Source organism: Homo sapiens, chromosome 9, assembly GCF_000001405.40.
Source record: "Homo sapiens chromosome 9, GRCh38.p14 Primary Assembly".
In the NCBI taxonomy this organism is placed as follows: Eukaryota; Metazoa; Chordata; class Mammalia; order Primates; family Hominidae; genus Homo; species Homo sapiens.
Genome location: NC_000009.12, coordinates 122,563,791 through 122,585,736, shown reverse-complemented (window position 1 = coordinate 122,585,736; position 21,946 = coordinate 122,563,791). Strand labels below are relative to the sequence as shown.

Here is a 21,946-nt window from a genome sequence, read left to right as displayed (position 1 = left end):
CACTCCCATTTACCTTCCCCGTGGTGCTGGAAACTACTAGAGGTACATCAAAATGAATGTTCCACCCAGCCTTTTCTAGTGATACTTTCTCCAGCCTCAGGTAGTTTATTCACACACATGTTCAGATCTAAACCCAGTCAAAGGCCCAAGAAAGCCCACCAGAAAATATCTGATATTTCTCTCTGCACAATTTCCTTTTTTCTGGTATTGTCCCAAGAATTCTAGCTTTCTTGGCTTCCCTGGCCAACATGGTGAAACGCGGTCTCCACTAAAAATACAAAAATTAGCTGGGCGTGGTGGTGCACACCTGCAGTCCCAGCTACTAGGGAAGCTGAGGCTTCCCTGGTCTTCAAACATTGTCTCCTCAACTAAAAGAGTTTGCTGGAATATTTTTGATTTTTCCTTTCTACAGTGAAGCCTGGAAATGCTCTCCAGATAGTAGGACTGAAAATAAGAAAGATCATCCCTAAGTTTCCAACCTTGTTGAGGATAGCTGTTTTGCATAGCCTTTTAAAAATAGCTTTGTTCATATAATTCCTATACCATAAAATTCAGTGTAATTTCAGTAAATTCAGTAAATTTAATTCAGAGTCGTAAAATTCTCCCAACTATCTCATTTTGAAACATTTTCATAACCCAAAATCTAGTACCCATTAGCAGTAAGTCATTATTCTACCTTGTCCCCAACCCCTAGGAACAACCCATCTACTTTCTTTCCCTATGGATTTGCCTCTTATAGACATGTCATGTAAATGGAATCATATAATGTGGCCCTTTTATACTAGCTTCTTTCATTTTGCATAATGTTGTATATATATACACACATTATATACATATATACACACATATACACACACACACACACACACACACATATATATATATATATATATATTTTAGACAGTCTTGCTCTGTCACCAAGGCTGTAGTGCATTCGTGCAATCTTGGCTCACTGCAACCTCCACCTCCTGGATTCAAGCAATTCTCATGCCTCAGCTTCCCTAGGAGCTGGAAGTGCAGGTGTGCATCTCCACGCCCAGCTAATTTTTGTATTTTTAGTAGAGATGGCGTTTCACTATGTTGGCCAGGCTGGTCTCGAGCTCCTGGCCTCAAAAGATCCGACCCCCCACCCCCGCCTCCCAAAGTACTGGGATTACAGGCATGAGCAACCATGCCCAGCCCATGTTTTCAAGGTCTGTCCATGTTGTAGCATGAATCAGTACCCTCACAGACAAACCCAGGAGCAATACTGTGCATCCTTTAATCCAATCACGTTGACACTCACTATTAACCATCACAGTTGACTAGAAGTGGCAAGTACTGTCATCTTTATCTAGTTCTTGATCTTAGGAGGAAAGCACTCAGTATTTCACCCTAGAGTATGATGTTAGCTGTGAGGTTTTCATAGACGCCTTTTATCAGGTTAAAAAAGTTTTCAAGCTTTCCCGGCTTGTTAAGTGTTTTATCATGAAAGGGTGTTGAAGTTTGTTTGATGCTTTTTCTTCACCTATCAAGATGATCATATGGTTTTTTACATTTTTATTCTTAATATGGTGTATTACATTGATTTCTATAACTTATGAATATATATTTTACTACCTATTATAAATATATTTACATAGCTGATTTAAAGTCTTTGTTTAGTAATTCCAACATCTGGACTACCTCAGAAACAGTTTCTATCTTTCTGGCTACATTTGCCAGGTATTTTTTTTTTAACTAGATATGGGGTCTCACTTTGTGGCCCAGGTTGGTCTCAAACTACAGGGCTCAAGTGAGCCTCCCACCTCAGCCTCCTAGAGTGCTGGATTACATGCTAGCTTTTGTTGTTGCTTTTTTTAGGAGCAGATTTTCTGAAGTCCTTACACTTCAATTCTGAAAATTCTATCTCCCCATGCTACCTTTTTCAATATCTAAAATCACTTGCTTTGTACATTTTGTCTGGCTTTCCTGATGTTTATTTATTTACTAACTAATGTTCACACTTTATTCCTAGTTCCTTACTTTTTCTTTTTTCCTTTTTTTAACACAGAGTCTTGCTCTTGTCACCCAGGCTGGAGTGCAGTGGCACGATCTCTGCTCACTGCAATCTCCACCTCCTAGGTTCAAGTGATTCTCCTGCCTCAGCCTCCCAAGTAGCTGAGATTACAAGCACACACCACCATGCCCGGCTAATTTTTTTTTATTTTTAGTAGAGATGGGGTTTCACCATGATGGCTAGGCTGGTCTCAAACCCCTGACCTCAGGTGATCCACCAGCCTCGGCCTCCCAAAATGCTGGGATTACAGGCGTGAGCCAGTGCGCTCGGCCTATTTCCTTACTTTTAAAATCTAATATCCTTTTTTTGTGTTCCAGGATCCCATCGAGGATATTATATTATATTCAGTCATCCTGTCTCCTTCGGCTTCTCTTGACTGTGAGTTTCTCATATTTTACTGTTTTTTTTTTTGTTTGATGACCCTGACAGTTTTAAGGAATATTGATGAAATATTTTATAGAATGTCTCTCAGTTGGGATTTGCCTGATTGTTTTGCAAAATCAGACTAGAGTGAATAGGGGCGTATCCATTTATTGTTTACTCCATGTTGTCCCACATGGAAGTTTTCCTGAACATTGGTCTTTTGCCTCTTTTGGAAAGTATTTATAAATTTACACATCAAAACGTATTGCTATTCCTGTTTATTGAGTCTCTGATTATATTATGTTAAAATAATATAATAAAATAATCCCATTTCCTTATTCTTTTATATTCTCTCTCTGCTATAATCTATATGATTTAGCTCTATTTTTTATTTAATTCTCTTTTGAGCTGTATCTAAATTGCTGTTGAGCTGCTTTTAGTTTTCATTTTAATTACACTTTTATTTCTAGAGATTTTTATTTTGTTCTCATATATATGTACTCCTGATTATTTTTAAATTGTGGCTACTAACTTTTTTAGTCTCATTCTGTTGTTATTTCTGCTAACTCTTGCTCATTATGTCTTTTTTTCCTTTAACTTAAAAAAATAACTTTTTTTAAGAGACAGGGTCTCACTCTGTCAACCCAGCTGTAGTGCAATGGGGTGTAGCTTACTGTAGCCTCAAACTCCTGGGCTCAAGTGATCCTTCCATGTCAGCCTCCTGCATAGCTGGGACTACAGGTGTGTACTACTATGCCCAGCTAATTTTTTTTTTAATTTTGTGCAGAGATAAGATCTTGCTATGTTGCCCATGCTGGCCCCAAACTCCCGAACTCAAGTGATCCTCTTGCCTAGGCTTCCCAGAGTGCTGGGATTATAAGCGTGAGCCACTGCGCCGAGCCTTGTTTGTATTTTTTAAACTCATAAATTTTGGAACTTTATCTCTAGAAAGTCTTTGAAGTCTGGGCTTAAACCATTTTCCAGAAAGGATTTTTGTTTACTTTTACCTAATTCCAACGTAAACCAAATTCTTCTTAGTTTATTATTTTTAAGCCATGGATGCAGTTTGAGTGTATTCTCAATCTTTCATTAGACGTTGATACTTCTCAGAAGTTTAAAAATATATCCTTGTCAAAAACGCAACACTTCTCAGAAGTTTTAAAAAATATGGTTAAGTCAAAAACGCAGAAAAAGAAATTTGCTTTTTCTTGCTATCTCCAAAAATAAATTAGACTTAAAAAAAATAATTCTTACACTATGAGCTTAGTCCTTCAGTGGTCCTAGCTTTAGGGAAAGGTCTCCAATACCATGATCTCCTCCCCATGCTTTGACACCGTGCTTTGTCTCTTGTTTCTTGTGAAGCTTTAAGAAATAAAGTTCTGTCTTTATTTACTTATTTATTCATTTATTTATTTATTTATTTTGAGATGGAGTCTCACTGTATCGCCCAGGCTGGAGTGCAGTGTCGTGATCTCGGCTCACTGCAACCTCCACCTTTTGGGTTCAAGCAATTGATGTGTACCACCACATCCTGCTGATTTTTCTAGTTTTAGTAGAGACAGGGTTTCACCATGTTGGCCAGGCTGGTCTCAAACTCCTGACCTCAGGTGATCTACCCGCCTCAGCCTCCCAAAGTGCTGGGATTACAGACATGAGCCACTGTGCCCGGCCTCTGTCTTTATTTTTAAAGAAGATTGGCACTCGCTTACCTCTGTGAATTCACATTTTCTTGGTATTTCTAGACTTCTAAATTTTATTTTTCTTACAAGGAAGTAGATATATCTAGGAGTTTTGAAATGAAAATGTGTTCTATGCATTTAGTTTGCCTAATTGCTAGAAACAGGAGTCCTACAAAGATTTTTGAAAATTTTTTGGAAGTCTAATTATAATGACCTACCTTTTTACCTAACTGTAATTGCTTTGACTGATGATCATAATATAATATTTGTCACTTTTTTTTTGTTTTGTTTTGAGACGGAGTCTTGCTCTGTCGCCAGGCTGGAGTGCAGTGGCGCCATCTCGGCTCACTACAACCGCCGCCTCCTGGGTTCAAGAGATTCTTGTGCCTCAGCCTCCCAAGTAGCTGGGATTACAGGCACATGCCACCATACCCAGCTAATTTTTGTATTTTTAGTAGAGACGGGGTTTCAGTGTGTTGGCCAGGATGGTCTCGATCTCCTGACCTCGTGATCTGCCTACCTCAACCTCCCAAAGTGCTGGGATTACAGGTGTGAGCCACTGTGCCCAGCCCATATTTGTCACTATTATGAAATAAATATAAACCATTATAATTATATTTAATATTCAGTCGAATTCTTTTTAGAGCTGGCCTTAGAGAGACACTGAGTATTGCTTAATTTTATAAATAAAGGCCTATTGCTCATTCTAGGACCTTATTTTATTGTAGCTGTGCTGTGGTGTGTTCTTATTACTAAAAGAAAGCAAATTACCATTATAGTAGTTACTTGGGACACTTTTTAGTAGTTTTATTGATCCACAGTGTAGTAGCTTCAGCCTAGAACAAAAGTATATTTTTTAACAACCCCAAAACAAAAAACAAATACAACACAAACATACCCTGACACCAGCACAGTCTTATCACACTTTTAATTCCCTCATAATACAATACAACAACCATTCTTTTATTAATGGAGGATGGGGTAGGGAGTATGTTATCAGTAGACTTAGAAAAAATTAGCTTAGTCATTGAAACCTTTGCCTTTTTTCTAGGAATTCCTTTCTCATATTCTTGTGTCTTCTTGGCATTGTTACGATCTTCAGCATGAGTCATATGCCCTGAAAAATGCAGACTGTACTAAATACCTTAGCACTGGTGTTCCTCTGCTTTGACCATATGGAAACTTACATTATTACAGATTAGACCTATCAACTAAGGGAAACAGAAAGGTTATTATTCAATGGTTTTATTTGTAAATGATCATTGGCACTCGGCATTCATTCTGACCGCATTCTAGTGTGCCATCCTGTACGTCGAAGGCTAGAAATAAAAAGAATACATTTCCTAGAATTCTTTACAGTTAGAGTCCTCAATATGAATTAGTTGGGTGCACTTATATGAAATTTAAAATATTGAAATGACGTGGAAGGTGTCCTATGTTTTTGCTTTTTCTACTGTCAGAAATATTCTTGGAACATTTTTTTTTTCTGCAGCAGATTTTCATTGTCCAGTTACTAGGTACATTATTGCTGACAGGCATTTGCTTTAGGAGCGGCAGCTGAAGTCCACTTTTTGTGACCAATTACCCAGTTAGTGAGAGACAGGAAGTAGTTTTGATGCTGATTCCTGATAGTTGGGCTGCAGTTGCACCGATAAGCTCTTGAATTCAATAGTTTCAATGGCGACCTTCTGATTCTCCTCCTTCCTAATTGGGTAAGAGAAGTACTTTAGGTGGGTCAGATTATTATTGCGCTTAAGTTTATTCCTAGAGACTCATCCTAGAGCCTGTGATTCTATAACATTTCCAATGACTTTGTAAGCACTCAATTTCCTGGTAAATAAAATATTTCAGTATTTTATTTACTTCATTTCTGCTTAAAACATCAATGACAATTTTTTCTTCCCTACACAAATCTTGACTAATACAACAGATAATAAAATGTAGACTTAATCCTGAAATAATTATGACACCATACCCCTTATGCTTATGTATATAGACAGAAAACTCCTTCAGTCTCAAATGTAAACATCACAACTAATATCTAATTAAAAAGGAAGAATTCTCTTTTTGAAGTACTTAGTATTCTCTAAGAAGCCCTCACTTATACCCTTTGTAATAGAATGTATAAGAACCTCATCCAGCAGCTATTAGTTGACAACCTGAAATTTCCTAGCTGCCTTTTGCTCCAGTACAAGGAAATGACTTCAATTCTCTCTTAAAGGAGAGAAAGAGCGACTTTATCTCCAAAGCAATCTCCAGACAAGGGATAGGTATTACCTTAAAAAGTTAGTGCAAAATTTTTAAATGTATTCAATTTTTAAAATTCAATTACAATGTATTCAAATTAAATTTAAATATAACTCAATTAAAATGTTTCAAATTTATGTTAAAATTATAATTTAAATTTATAATTATTAAGATTATTATTCTGTATTCAAAATATGCTATCAAATAATTAGTCCACACAATAGTCAATTATATCAACATATTATAATTTAACCAAGCCCCATTCATGAAAACTTGGATGATTTCTGTTTCTCTTACGTGTACTATCCTTGTACATATATTCTTGGCAGTATTTTTCTTTCTTCTTTTTTAATGACTTTCTATTTTTTTTTAATTTCAGTAGGTTTTTGGGGAACAGGTGGTGTTTGGTGACATGAATAAGTTTAGTGGTAATTTCTGAGATTTATTTTTCAGAATTTTTTTTAATTTTAGGTTTTTGGGGAACAGGTGGTGTTTGGTTACATGTTTAAGTTCGTTAGTGGTGATTTCTGACATTTTGGTGCACCCGAGCAGTGTACACTGTACCCAGTGTGTAGTCTTTTATTTCTCACCTTCTCCTACCCTTTCCCGAGTCCCCAAAGTTCATTGTATCATTCTTATGCCTTTTGTTCTCATAGCTCAGCTCCTACTTATGAGTGAGAACATACGATGTTTGGTTTTCCATTCCTGAGTTACTTTACTTTACTTAGGAAAATTGTCTCCAGTTCCATCCAGGTTGCCGTGAATGCCATTATTTTGTTCCTTTTTATGGCCAAATAGTATTCCATGGTATATGTATATATCACGATTTCTTTATCCACTCACTGATTGAGGGGCACTTGGGCTGGTTCCATATTTTTGCAATTGTGAATTGTGGTGCTATAAACATGCATGTGCAAGTATCTTTTTTTGTATATAATGATGTCTTTTTTTTTTTTTTTTTGAGATGGAGTCTTGCACTGTCGCCCAGGCTGGAGTGCCGTGGCATGATCTCAACTCACTGCAATCTCCGCCTCCCAGGTTCAAGCTATTCTCCTGCCTCAGCCTCCCGAGTATCTGGGATTACAGGTGACTGCCACCATGACCAGCTAATTTTTGTATTTTTAGTAGACACGGGGTTTCACCATGTAGGCCAGGCTGGTCTCAAACTCCTGACCTCATGATTCACCTGCCTCACCCTCCTAAAATGCTGAGATTATAGGCGTGAGCCACTGCACTCAGCCTTGTATAATGACTTCTTTTCCTCTGAGTGGATATCCAGTAGTGGGATTGCTGGATCAAATGGTATATCTACTTTTAGTTCTTTAATGAATCTCCACACTGTTTTCCATAGTGGTTGTACTAATTTACATTCTCACCAGCAGTGTAAAAGTGTTTTCCTTTTCACCACATCCACACTTGGCAATGTTTTTAGTATTTATATGATCAGATTCCTGAAAGTGAAAGACTAGGTCATAGACAATATAAATAATTAATTAACCACATATTGAATTTCTATGCCAAACAAACACTATATTTGGTACTGATGATATGAAGGTGAGGGGGAACAAAAACAAGAATGTACATGGCTTAATGTAATTGAGAACATTTTTCTTCAGATATGTTTGTACCACTTTCAACTGTTTCCTTTGGATAAATTTCTTAAAGTGAAAAATATTTAAATAAATACTGTCAAATTCTCTACAGAGTTATTGTGATACTTTACATTTCCACCTGCACTCTCAGTGTTAATACTAGGTATTATGATTCTTTTCAATCTTTGATAGATAATATGATTGGTGAAAAAATGGTATCACTGTTATTTTATTATTTTATCCAATAGTTCATTATTGCTAGTTTCATTAATTACTTGTTCACATGCTTACTGAACCTTGTATTCTTTTGTGAATTGCCTGTTCATGTTCATTGCACTTTTTTATTATTGAGGTGTTTGCCTTCTTTTATAATTCTGTTTTTAAATTTAAACACAGACTATCCCAACGATTTTTGTATGTGGAGGTCATATGTGTAAAACTACTGAAAACTTTTGGCTAAGTAAAGTTATTGTAAGCCCTTAAATTTGAAGTCTGCCTACAATAATAGGATCAACCCAATTTGGAGACTTTTCTAAATTGCTTAACACTGTCTATGTCTATATGGGCTTATACCGAAAGACTAAATTTAAGGCACCAGTGTATGAATAGATTAAATGCTTCTTTAGAGGTTAAAAAAAAGACTAGGTCATAGAAACAAATATTTTTAATGTTTATAACACATGCTGTCAATTTATTTCCTAGAAGCATATGCCACTTTGTATTCACACTACTAGCAGCAGTAGAAAGTATCTCCTTTTCCTGCCTCCACCCAGAATCAATTATTGTCATTTAAAAACCCAATTATACATCAGAGTTACTTCCAGTTTCTGGTCCAACATGTATGGATCTTGGAGGTTGTTACTCCTTCTGAAAGAGTAAAAGGCCTAACAAACTGAAAAATCAACATTCTTTTTAGATCCATCAGAGAAGTGAGGTCACACGGCAACCCACTGCCCCCCAAATTGGAGAGACAGACAACAAAAATACAAAGAATCACAGCTTACTGGAGCAGAAACCCACAAACAGAAGCCTCTGCAGGAATCAGTGCTAAGGTAGGAAAACCTGAACTGTAATTGATGAATTGCTGGAGGCTCAGTGTAGACAAGTCTGAGAGTTAAAATCTCTAGGGGGAACCAGTCATAGAAAGGCCCACACACTGTTGTGAGTTTTACCTCCCAGAGTTCTACCTGGTTCTCACAGTGAAGATATATACAGTATTCATAATAGCCAAGATATGGAAACAACCTAACTGCCCAACAATGAGTGAATATAAAGAAAATGTTGGCTGGGTGCAATGGCTCATGCCTGTAATCCCAGAACCTTGGGAGGCCAAGGCGGGCAGATCATCTGAGGTCAGGAGTTCAAGACAAGCCTGGCCAATGTAGCGAAACCACATCTCTACTAAAAAATACAAAAAAAAAAAAAAAAATTAGCTGGGCGTGGTGGCTCACACCTGTAATCCCAGCTACTTGGGAGGCTGAGCCAGGAGAATTGCTTGAACCCAGGAGGCGGAGGTTGCAGTGGGCTGAGCTCATGCCACTGCACTCCAGTCTGGGTGACAGAGCAAGACTCTGTCTTAAAAAATAAAAAAAAATGTAAAAAAGAAAATGTTACATGTAGACATACATACATATATATGTATATACTTTCTGTACTCTTACAAGTCAACAGCAAAAAAATGAACTATCTGTTCTTAAAAGGAGCAATGTATATTTATTCAGCCTTACAATATTATTAAGACTTAAAGAAGTAGATCTTTCCATTTGCCACAACACAGATATACCTGGAGGACATTATGGTAACTGAAATAAACCAGACACAGAAATAAAAATATTGCACACTCTCATGTATATGTGAAATAAAAAGAAAGAAATATGCAGGGATAGAGAATGAAACAATAGTTACTACAGGTAGGGGGAGGGACAAAATTGGGAGATGTAGGTCAAAGGATACAGACATGAAGCATGAACAAGTCTAGAGATCTAATGTACAACATGAGAACCAGTTAATAATATTGAATTGTATTAGGGATTTTTGTTAAATAAGATTTTAGTTGCTGTTATCACAAAAAAGTAACTGTGAGATTATAGATATGTTAATCTGCTTCATAATAATAACCACTTTACTCTCTATATGTATCTCATAGCATCATGCTGTAAACCTCAAATATATACAATAAAATTTAGTTTTTAAAAATTGATAAGCTTCTAACCATGCTGACTATGAAAACAAGACAGAGGACACAAATTATTAATGTCAGAAATAAATAAGGGAACATCACTACAGATCTCATGGACATTAAAAGAAAATAAAGAAATACTATGAACAACTCTGTACCCACAAATTTGATAACCTAAATGAATGGACAAATTCTTTGAAAGACATGATATGTCAACAATATGTCAAAATGCACACAAAAAGAAATGATGAAATTGATAGAACTGTATCTATAAAAGAAATTGACTCAATAATTAATAAACTCCCAAAGCAGAAAGCACTAGGCCCAGATGGGTTCACTGGTGAATTCTACTAAACATTTAAAGAAGAATTTATATTAATTATCTACAATCTCTTCCAGACAATAGAAGCAAAGGAAACACTTTCTAATTCATTCTACGAAGCCAACAATATCCTAATACCAAAACCAAAGACATTATAAGAAAACTATAAACCTGTATCTCTCATAAACATACATGCATAACTCTAAACAAAATGTTTGCAAATTGAATCCAACAATGTATAAAAAGATTTATACATCACAACCAAGTTTAATTTATCCTAGGTATGCAAGCCTGGTTCAACATTCCAAAATCAGTTATTGTAATGCATCACATCAATAAACTAATAAAGAAAAGCCACATGAATACATAAATAGATGCAGAAAAATCATTTGACAAACTCCAACACCCATCTATGATTCTAAAAACTCTCAGTAAACTAGGAATAGAAGGAAAATTCCTCAACTTGATAAGAAAAAACTACCCCCAAAAAAATCCTACAACTAACATTATACATGATGGCGAGAAACTAGGAGCTTTCCCATTACATTCAGGAACAAGATAAGAATGCTCCCTCTCACCATGGCTTTTCAACATCATACTGGAAATCCTACCTAATGCAATAAGACAAGAATAGTAATAAAAGATATACAGATTTGAAGGAAAGAAATGAAACTATCTTTGTTCACAGATGATTTGATTGTCTATATAGAAAATCCAAAAGAATTGACAAAAAAATTCCTGGAACTAATAAGCAATTACAGCAAGAGTGCAAAATGCAGGATTAATATACAAAAGCCATTGTTCTCTTAAATATTAGCAACAAACAAGTGGATTTTGAAATTAAGAACAGAATATCATTTACATTAGCACCCCCCAAAATAAAATAGTGGCATAAATCTAACAAAATAAGTACAAGATGAACACAAGGGTTACCACAAAACCATGATGAAAGATAAAAGAACTAAATAGTAATTCCATGTTCATGAATAAGAAGGCTCAATATTATCAAAAGGTCAATTCTCCTGAATTCGGTGTATAAATTCCATGCAATACCGATCAAAATCCCAGCAAGTTATTTTGCAGATATTAAAAAACTAATTCTAAAGTTTATATGTAGAGGCAAAAGACCCAGAGTAGCCAAGTCAATATTAAAGGAGAAAAACAAACTGGAGGACTGACACTACCTGACTTCAAAGCTACAGTAATCAAGACAATATATACTGGCAAAAGAATAGGCAAATAGATCAATGGTACAGAACAGAGAACCAAGAAATAGACCCACGCAACTATCTTTGACAAACAGCAAAGACATATAACGGAGCAAAGACAGTTTTTTCAACAAATAGTGCTAAATTATCTGGACGTCCACATACCAAAAAGAAAAATAAATTCACCCTTTATAAACATTAACTCAATGGATCATAGTCCTAAATATAAGATGCAAAACTGTGAAACTCATAGAGGATAACATAAGAGAAAATCTAGATGATCTTGGGTTTAGAGATGACTTTTTAGATACAACACCAAAGGCATGATTCATAAAAGAAAGAATTCATAAGCTGGACTTCATTAAAATTAAACTTTTCTGTTCTGCAAAAGTCACTGTCAAGAGAATAAAAAAATAAGCCACATACTGGGAGAAAATATTTGCACAAAACATATCTGATAAAGGACTGTAATTCAAAATACACAAATAACTCTTAAAACTCAACAATAAGAAAATATACAACCCAATTAAAAACGGGCCAAAGGTCTTAACAGACACTCAGCAAAGAAGATGCACAGATGGAAAACAGGCATGTGAAAAGATGCTCCATCTCATGTCATCTGGGAAATTCAAATTAAAACAACAATGACATACCACTGTATACCCATTAGAATGGCCAAACATAAACATTCCTAAACATAAAAATATTCACTCACATAAATATTTATCCACTCTTGATAACCATTACTTGAGGAAAGAGAAGCATTCCCTTCGGATATTGCAGTGAAGTTAAGAAGCTCTGAGTTTAGCCCCAACATCTAAATGGGAAGCCTCAGGGGTCCCTGTCTCCTTGGAGTCAGCTCTGTTAACTGTTATTTCCATTCTGCTTTCTTTGCTGAGGGAGATCACAGGACAAACTCCCCTGAGGGGTCAGCACACCACAGCTATATCAGCCTAACAAGGATCACAGAGGCCAGGAGGGCAGAACTCAAACCCATGGAAAGCTCACTGGGCTTCCACAATCAAAAGAGTCCTTGCCACTTGAGTCAGGGCCTCCCTGCCTTCTGAGATGTGCAGCTGAGAAAGGCAGCATTATGTTAGGAACCACAGATTAGGAAGGAAACAGGGAGTTAAGGTCAGAAAAGGGAAATGTGGTATTCCTTTAGAGTAGTGTTTCAGTTCTTCCCTCCTTGCTAATTAGTCCAGAAGTTCAGAGGAGAAACATGAGGAAGCTGAGCTTTGGCTAAGAAGCAGAGTTGGAAATCACAGATGTGCAGAAGATCCACTTCTTGAGACACATGGAAGCAAAGGAAAAACGCTGGATACAGAGGTGAGCTTCAGTGAGCTAGCCACCTACCTAGCCAACCCAGTTTGGCACTTTCTCTTTCCTTTCTGAAAGTTTCAAATATTTCATGAATTAAGAAGTCATAACCACCATCTGACTCATTTAGACTCATTGAGCTTGATCTGGAGGCCCTCTACACCACATGCTTTGAGAGCAGCAAAACCCTATTAGTAGAAAAAAAAAAACCAAACCCAAAACCAAAAAAACAAAACAATGATTGCATTCCCAGCCCCATACACTCACCCTGTACTTTAGAACTATTCTCCCTGATTTTCATATCCTAAACCTTCTTCCTTTTTCCCCGTGATAAGCATGGGTGATCCTCATGTCTACAGTCTGGAGCATCCAAACCCACTTAACCCAAATCTCCACTATTTTTTAAATTCTGTATTCCCAAGGCAGCCTTTTCATGAATGACTGCTTTTTAAATAATGATCTGTGTTTGACACACTGCTTTTCAGACATGGTATCTCACTTGCTATTTGATATGGTTTGGATCTGTGTCCCCGCCCAAATGTCATGTGGCATTTTAATCTCCAGTGTTGAAGGTGGGCCCTAGTGGGAGGTGATCATGGGGACGGATCCCTCATGAATGGTTTAGCACTGTCACTGGTGCTAGTATCATGTTAGTGAGTGAGTTTTCACAAGATCTACTTGTTTAAAAAGTGTGTAGCGCCTCCCCCCACCTCTGTTCTGCTCCTGCCATGTAAGATGCCTGCTCCGGCTTTGCCTTCCACCATGAATAAAAGTTTCCTGAGGCCTCCCCAGAATCAGAAACTGCAAGGCTTCCTGTAAACTCTGCAGAACTGTGAGGCAATTGAACCTCTTTACTTTAAAAATTACCCAGTTTGGAGTATTTCTTTATAGCAGTGTAAGAATAGACTAATACACCTTTCATAAAACATCAGGAATCAGCCTATGAGCAGGTGATAGAGGACAAATCCAGCCTGCATCTTCTGCCTCAAGTCCAAGGCACTGTCCACTGCACCACTACAACCCTACACACAAGACCCACCTCCACCATGCATGGTCAATTTTTTTTTTTTTTTTGAGACTGAGTCTCGCTCTGTCGCCAGGCTGGAGTGCAGTGGTGCAATCTTGGCTCACTGCAACCTCCGCCTCCCGGGTTCAAGCGATTCTTCTGCCTCAGCCTCCCGAGTAGCTGGGACTACAGGTGCGCCCCACCACACTCAGCTAATTTTTTTTTTTTTTTTTTTGAGACAGTCTGGCTCTGTTGGCCAGGCTGGAGTGCAGTGGCAAAATCTCAGCTCACTGCAACCTCCGTCTCCTGGGCTCAAGCAATTCTCCTGCCTCAGCCTACCGAGTAGCTGGGATTACAGGCCCCCGCCACCATGCCTGGCTAATTTTTGTATTTTTAGTAGAGACAGGATTTAACCGTGTTGGCCAGGATGCACCCAATCTCCTGACCTTGTGATCCGCCTGCCTCAGCCTCCCAAAGTGCTGGGATTACAGGTGTGAGCCACCGCGCCCGGCATGCATGGCCAGTTTTACCCACCTGATTGTGACCAGTCCCTCATTAGTGTTCAAGCTTTCAAATCCCACCATCTGTACCACACAGAAAGATTGGTAATCACCCTTACAGCTGCAAGAGTGGATTCTGAACATGGGACAAGAAAGTTTGTCAGTTGTGTATTTGTGTGGCAAGAGGGTAATTCTGTAGAAATTTATCAGAGTGAGGAAAACATAGCACCAATGCACGATTGTAAGATATGTATAGCTTTACCAAAATATGAAGAGGCTTAAGGTTCAAATTTTTACTATTATTCACTTCCTTACTGACCTTGAACAGATCACTTCACCTCTCTAAGCCTCCTGTATGTAAAAATGGCAACAGTAATAACATATGCCTCTTAATTCCTTATTACGGAATTTAGTGAGATGCTTACCATGTACCTAATACTAATACATTTTCAATAAATATTTGTTAATATTATTGACTTTAATTACTGATTCACTCAATATATCAGCAAATATTCCTTCTATAAAATCTTGCAATATTATAAAATTAATCTGAGAGACAGTGAGGGATATGATATTTTAAGCATGTGAGATAATTAGTTTTGAGAACATGCAGGAATATCAGATAAGGGACGATGACGCTGAGGTGGCTGGGGAACAGCTTGTCCTGAATGTTTTTACAATATCCTTGTCCCTCTTTTAAGTCTTTCAAATGCTTTATCTCATTAAATCCTCATGACAATGTGGATATTTGTGTTCGATTTTATACATGAAAAACCTGAGATTTAAAGGTGTTTAGTAACTTACAAGAAAAATGTAAGCATTTAATTTTTTAGTACATCAATATATAAATAGCCAACATTTAAAAATATGTGAAAATTCTGGTGTATTAAGGCCCATTCACAATGTGTAAAAGAATATACTGCTGTAAAGAAGTTGTTTCACAGATGCTGGAGAGGATGTGGAGAAATAGGAACAATTTTACACTGTTGGTGGGACTGTAAACTAGTTCAACCATTGTGGAAGTCAGTGTGGCGATTCCTCAGGGATCTAGAACTAGAAATACCATTTGACCCAGCCATCCCATTACTGGGTATATACCCAAAGGACTATAAATCATGCTGCTATAAAGACACATGCACACATATGTTTATTGCGGCACTATTCACAATAGCAAAGACTTGGAACCAACCCAAATGTCCAACAATGATAGACTGGATTAAGAAAATGTGGCACATATACACCATGGAATACTATGCAGCCATAAAAAATGATGAGTTCATGTCCTTTGTAGGGACATGGATGAAATTGGAAATCATCATTCTCAGTAAACTATCGCAAGAACAAAAAACCAAACACCGCATATTCTCACTCATTGGTGGGAATTGAACAATGAGAACACATGGACACAGGAAGGGGAACATCACACTCTGGGGACTGTTGTGGGGTGGGGGCAGGGGGGAGGGATAGCTTTAGGAGATATATCTAATGCTAAATGACGAGTTAATGGGTGCAGCACACAAGCATGGCACATGTATACATATGTAACAAACTTGCACATTGTGCACATGTACCCTAAAACTTAAATAATAAAATAAAATAAAATAAAATAAAATAAAATAAAATGAAGTTGTTTCAAACATCTTGGTGGTGCAAATATGTTCACTGTAGAGATTTTATGGTAGCCAAAAATGTATAAATAACCAATATCTAAAAATGCTTGAAAATCTCTATGTAATATGCCTATTCACAAGGTATGAATGAATATGCTTACTCAAAAACTTTAATTGCAAAAAAATTGTGACAACATTTTGCTGATACAAAAATTCTCATTGCAGAGTTTTTTTATAGTAGCAAGAAATGGAAGCCACTTTGATATCCATTGGTAGGTAACTGGATCGGGATGAAAAATATATATACCAAAAAATTAACATGTTTCTCATATATATTTTTAACACGTAAAAGATAAATTAAAAACAGATTTAACACTTAACAATGGGTGCTTATTCTGTACAAATGTGATTTAGGACAGAGAATTAAAGAAGGGAAAAACAATTTACAAAAAAAGGGAGACTTGTGCAAACTAATGATGATAGCATGTCATGAGCTAGGGAGGATGAACCTTTCATTCTGTGAGCAGAGCAGAAAAAAAAATCACTCTATTGACTGCGTTCAACAGTCGTCTTAGATTTGCCCTGTTGGCTGTTTTGAAAAACCATTAGTTTTTTTCAAGACAATGCAAAGATAAACTTCAGCGTGACACAACTGAGTATGCTTTGATAGGGAAAGAGTGTCCTGAAACCTCCCCATCTAAAATACCCCCAGTCTGACTCCCCAGCAACCTCCATCTTCTAATACTATTTTATTTTGTTCATAAAATGTATCCCTAACTGATGCTATACTACATATTTTGTAGTATAATGATCTACCTCCCCAACTAGAAGGTAAGCTCCACATAAGCAGAAATCTGTCTGCTCTATTGCTATGTCCCCGGCAGGTGAATAGTGCTTTTCACAGAATAGGAAATACTGAGTCTGAATTAGAGGAGTCCACTTCTGAAAGTTTCTAAAGGAAAACTCTCCCTCTGTCCCTCCAGATTTCAATATAATGCCCTTATGGAGCCCATAGATTTGGGAAGGGAGGACCCCATCAAGGACCATGAGGTGAACAAGCCATCCCACAATTAGCACAGTAGCTAATTGTGACCAAACAGAAGAAACAAAGACTTGCTAGGTTCTCATGATTGGTGTTATGAAATCAGAGCATGTTAAATGACAAAACTTCTTGTTTATAACTGAGCCCAAGTCAATGGAAAGAATCAACCACACCAGCAGTGTCTCCGAGTTTATCCTCCTGGGACTCTCCTCCCGGCCTGAGGACCAAAAGACACTCTTTGTTCTCTTCCTCATCGTGTACCTGGTCACCATAACAGGGAACCTGCTCATCATCCTGGCCATTCGCTTCAACCCCCATCTTCAGACCCCTATGTATTTCTTCTTGAGTTTTCTGTCTCTCACTGATATTTGCTTTACAACAAGCGTTGTCCCCAAGATGCTGATGAACTTCCTGTCAGAAAAGAAGACCATCTCCTATGCTGGGTGTCTGACACAGATGTATTTTCTCTATGCCTTGGGCAACAGTGACAGCTGCCTTCTGGCAGTCATGGCCTTTGACCGCTATGTGGCCGTCTGTGACCCTTTCCACTATGTCACCACCATGAGCCACCACCACTGTGTCCTGCTGGTGGCCTTCTCCTGCTCATTTCCTCACCTCCACTCACTCCTGCACACACTTCTGCTGAATCGTCTCACCTTCTGTGACTCCAATGTTATCCACCACTTTCTCTGTGACCTCAGCCCTGTGCTGAAATTGTCCTGCTCTTCCATATTTGTCAATGAAATTGTGCAGATGACAGAAGCACCTATTGTTTTGGTGACTCGTTTTCTCTGCATTGCTTTCTCTTATATACGAATCCTCACTACAGTTCTCAAGATTCCCTCTACTTCTGGGAAACGCAAAGCCTTCTCCACCTGTGGTTTTTACCTCACCGTGGTGACGCTCTTTTATGGAAGCATCTTCTGTGTCTATTTACAGCCCCCATCCACCTACGCTGTCAAGGACCACGTGGCAACAATTGTTTACACAGTTTTGTCATCCATGCTCAATCCTTTTATCTACAGCCTGAGAAACAAAGACCTGAAACAGGGCCTGAGGAAGCTTATGAGCAAGAGATCCTAGGAAGCACCCTCTTGAAAAACTCGTAAGTGGAATCTGCTCAACTTGGACGTGTTTTCTACTGGTTTCTGGTGAACAGTCAAAGCTGTTGGAAGCTAGCACTTCTGACCCATGTGAGACAAGGCTATTGTGGGCACTTACATCCATTGATGATGACCCAACAATTCGGCCTGTATCTCTTAAATCACAATCGTTTCCTGTCTGTGTCTCCTCTTTCTTGGAAAGATTTATTTTTTCCACTTTCTCATTTTCCAAAAACTGCTTTAATCTAATCCTTTCCCCATGAATATTTCCTAAACAAATTTCTCTCCTTTTATTAAGGCAGATCCTCCAAAATTCTTCACATTTCAATATATTGCTGAAAAATGTGTAATTTGTAGCCATTGAATGTTTTTGCAAAAAAATTGAAAAGAGAAAGAATGAAGGAAGAGGAGGATATATATTTTAGCTAATTTTCTCTTCTTGAGAATTTTTATAATTTTTTATTTTTCTCCTTCTAAAAATGTTTTATTGCTTAAATCTTAAGCTTTTACTTTTTTATCTTTCTATCCTTCCTTTATTATACTGCTGTAGTTTTATTTACTTTTAATTTCCTCTTATATTTTATCATACAATTTAAAAATGCTAATGGTCAGAAAGAACAAAAACCACAAGGGATAACATGGAAATTATCCATTTCACACAGGGGAGGTTGAAACATTTCTTCTGGTTCACCTTCCCATAAACTATGTGTTTAAAATGTGTGATTTAATACTTCGTCTAGAAACTGTCATTTCTAGGACTCTAGCCTATAGAAATATTATTATAAATTTGTATTGAGTAATATTATTGTAAATGTGTATTGAATATTGTGAGATATATGTATATATAATCTCCAAAGATGTTCAGGGAAATCCCAGTTTATAATAGGTAAAAATGGCAACAACCTAAAACCTTTTCAATAGGGAAATGGAGAAAGATGCTATGACTAATTCCATAAAGTGTAACTATATGCAGCATGTTCAAAGAATCAAATATATCTTTACTGCTTCCTTGAAAAGCCATTAAGTAAGAAAATTAAGATATGGAACAAATGTAAAAGTATGAATCCATTACATTAAAACATTATATAAATATGAATGTACATATGTGTGTAGCCACTGGGGTAAGAATGGAAGGGCAGGGGGAAACATGGAGGGAGAATATTTCCTCATCTTTATACACAGTTGTAATGTCTGAATTTCTTCAAATAAACATTTATTGCCAATGGAATAGAAAACTATTAATAAACAAGATGACCTATGCAATGGTGAAAGACTTCATAAATTACCAGTTGAAGAAAAACTTTCTGAGTGCATGCATATCTAAAAACACGATTTTGGCACGTTTACTTTAGTAGACAATTTGATAATTTGATAGGATGCAGCATTCTAGGTCCAAAGCTTTTCTTTCAGATCTTTTAAAGATACATCTATATTATTCCAATGCCTCGGGTGTTTTCAGTGATAAATAAGAGGTCACCCTAATTTGTGTTCCTTTGTAATGATTTCCTTCTCATTGGATCATACTCCATAGATCCCTAACACCAAACATGGCTATGCTGCCACTGCTTAGGCCTTGGAAGAGCAGACCCTGATTCCACCTACTTTACTCCAAGCCTGAGTTTAGGAGTCCAGTCATTGTTCTTGACTGTGTGTATTCTCATGGGTGTCAACATGTAACAAAAAGGTAAAAAATAAAATACTAGGCAAACAGTTCTTAGAGTTGAAATCAAAAGCAAAGAGCATGATCCATAAAAGGAAAAATTTTAAAGTTGAACTTCATAAAAATTAAACTACTAGAAGGTGAAGGTGGGGAGAAGGTAAGTTAAAAACTACCTGTCAGGTATTATGCTCACTACCTGGGTGACGGGATCCATACTTCTTCTATGACAGAAGCAGACTAATGTAATCAACATACCACCAAGTAATTGGCTAATCACCCTTGGGAATGGTGCCATTGGGGGGCTCAGCGTTGGTCTCTGCTGCTGGCAGACTGGGCACTCAAAGGTGGCAGTGGCCAGGTCAGCCCTGGTTAGTGGGAGTACATGCTGCTGAACCCATACATAACCTCCATCCCTGCCGCCATGGCCATTTTGTTCATGAGCCCATTGGGCGATGACAGTGGTGGCTGGGGAAAGAGACTCACTGGTATCCACAAAACGGGTCATCCTATCCACTTATTAAAACCTCCCCTTCTGAGGTCATGCTTTGGTGAGTATTTACATGGGACACAGATATCTTCATATCTTTGCCCATTCATAGAGGTCTATTCACATTGCTCTTCCCCAGGTATCTTTGTCATCAATTTTCCAATCATGTTGCTTCCAAATCCCTGATCACCCAGAATGTGTTTCCTCTAAAATCCAAATAGATGCACCAGGCATAGTGCCTCTCTCTTGGGTGTAAGAGGGGCCAGACACCTATCCTTCACCTTAAAAGGGCTATCTGGACAGGTCTCACACCACTGGACCCTATAAATTTCACGAGGAAGTATAAGTCCCTTGAATTTTAGCCAGATTTATTTGTACTTTTTGACACACAAATGTCCTACCAATGAGTTCAGACTCACTAGGTCTAATTGGCACAATGTTATCAATATAATGGACCAGTGTGGCATCTTGTGGAAGGACAAGTGGTCGAGAATTCTGTGAACTTGATTATGACATGGGGCTGCAGAATTGATATACTCCTGAGGTATGACAGTTAAGGTGTACTGCTGGCCCTGCCAGCTGAAAGCAAGCTGCTTCTGGTGGGCATTACAGACAGGGATGGAGAAAAAGTCATTTGCCAGATCAATAGCTACACACCAGGTACCAGGAAATGTTAATTTGCTCAAGCAGTGAAACCACATCTGGTACAGCAGCTGCAATTGGAGTCACTGCTTGGTGAAGCTTATGATAATCCACTGTCATTCTCCAGGATCCATCTATCTTCTGCACAGGCCAAATAGGAAAGTTAAGCAGGGATGTGGTGGGGATCACCACCCCTGCATCTTTTAAGTCCTTGATGGTGGCACGAATCTCTGCAATTTCTCCAATGATACAACACTACTTTTCATTTACTATTTCCCTAGGTAGAGGCAGCTCTAATGGCTTCCATTTGGCCTTTCCCATCATAATACCCCCCCACTCCACAAGTCAGGAAACAAATGTGGGGATTCTACCAGGTGCTAAGTATGCCTATTCTAATTATGCATATTAGAATTGGAGAAATAACCACAGTTGCACTGGGGACATAACCACAGTTAGAATTGAGGAAATAACCACAAGATGGGTTTTGGGATCGAGTGGACACACCGTAAGTTGGATCTGAGCTAAAATTTCATTAATCACATGACCCCCATAATTGCCTACTCTAACTAGAGGGCAACAGTGATGTTTCGTGTCTCCTGGAATCAACATCAGTTGAGAGCCAGTGTCCAGTAGTCCCCAAAAGATCAGATCATTTCCCTTTTCCCAATGCACAGTTACCTTGGGAAATGACAGGAGGCATCACACTACCTGACTTCAAAACATACTATAAAGCTATAGTAACTGAAACAGCATGGTCATAAATACAGACATATGGATAATGAAACAGAATAGACAACCCAAAAATAAATCATGTATCTATAGCCAACTGATTTTTGACAAAGGTGTGAAGAATACACATTGGGAAAAGCACAGTTTCTTCAATATATGATGTTATAAAAACTGAATATGTGTATGCAAAAGAATAACTAGATCTCTATCTCTTACCAC

The 21,946-nt window shown here is 37.7% G+C and overlaps 2 protein-coding genes across 5 annotated transcripts in view; one reads left to right on the top strand and one right to left on the bottom strand.

Moving 5' to 3' along the window:
* Nucleotides 1-2,352: 2,352 nt before the first annotated feature.
* Nucleotides 2,353-21,946, top strand: part of OR1L8 (olfactory receptor family 1 subfamily L member 8) — a 37,114-nt gene continuing 17,520 nt past the window's right edge. Inside the window, exons 1-5 of one of the 3 annotated variants that reach the window (NM_001004454.2) lie at nt 2,353-2,416; nt 7,292-7,413; nt 8,836-8,971; nt 12,829-12,957; nt 17,048-18,620. In NM_001004454.2, the coding sequence (NP_001004454.1) occupies nt 17,260-18,189 (930 nt within the window). In that variant the 5' untranslated portion in view covers nt 2,353-2,416; nt 7,292-7,413; nt 8,836-8,971; nt 12,829-12,957; nt 17,048-17,259 and the 3' untranslated portion in view covers nt 18,190-18,620. Of the gene's footprint in view, nt 2,417-7,291; nt 7,414-8,781; nt 8,972-12,828; nt 12,958-17,047; nt 18,655-21,946 lie in introns of those variants that run through there. The other 2 variants (XM_017014285.2, XM_017014286.2) reach the window with 2 other exon arrangements.
* The window catches only part of OR1J2 (olfactory receptor family 1 subfamily J member 2), a 132,995-nt gene continuing 116,358 nt past the window's right edge, over nt 5,310-21,946 (bottom strand). The window contains exons 1-2 of one of the 2 annotated variants that reach the window (XR_007061277.1): nt 17,280-17,361; nt 5,310-5,784 (exon numbers count right to left, since the gene is read on the bottom strand). The gene's annotated coding sequence lies outside the window, so the exon portion shown is untranslated. Of the gene's footprint in view, nt 5,785-17,279; nt 17,362-21,946 lie in introns of those variants that run through there. The other variant, XR_007061271.1, reaches the window with a different exon arrangement.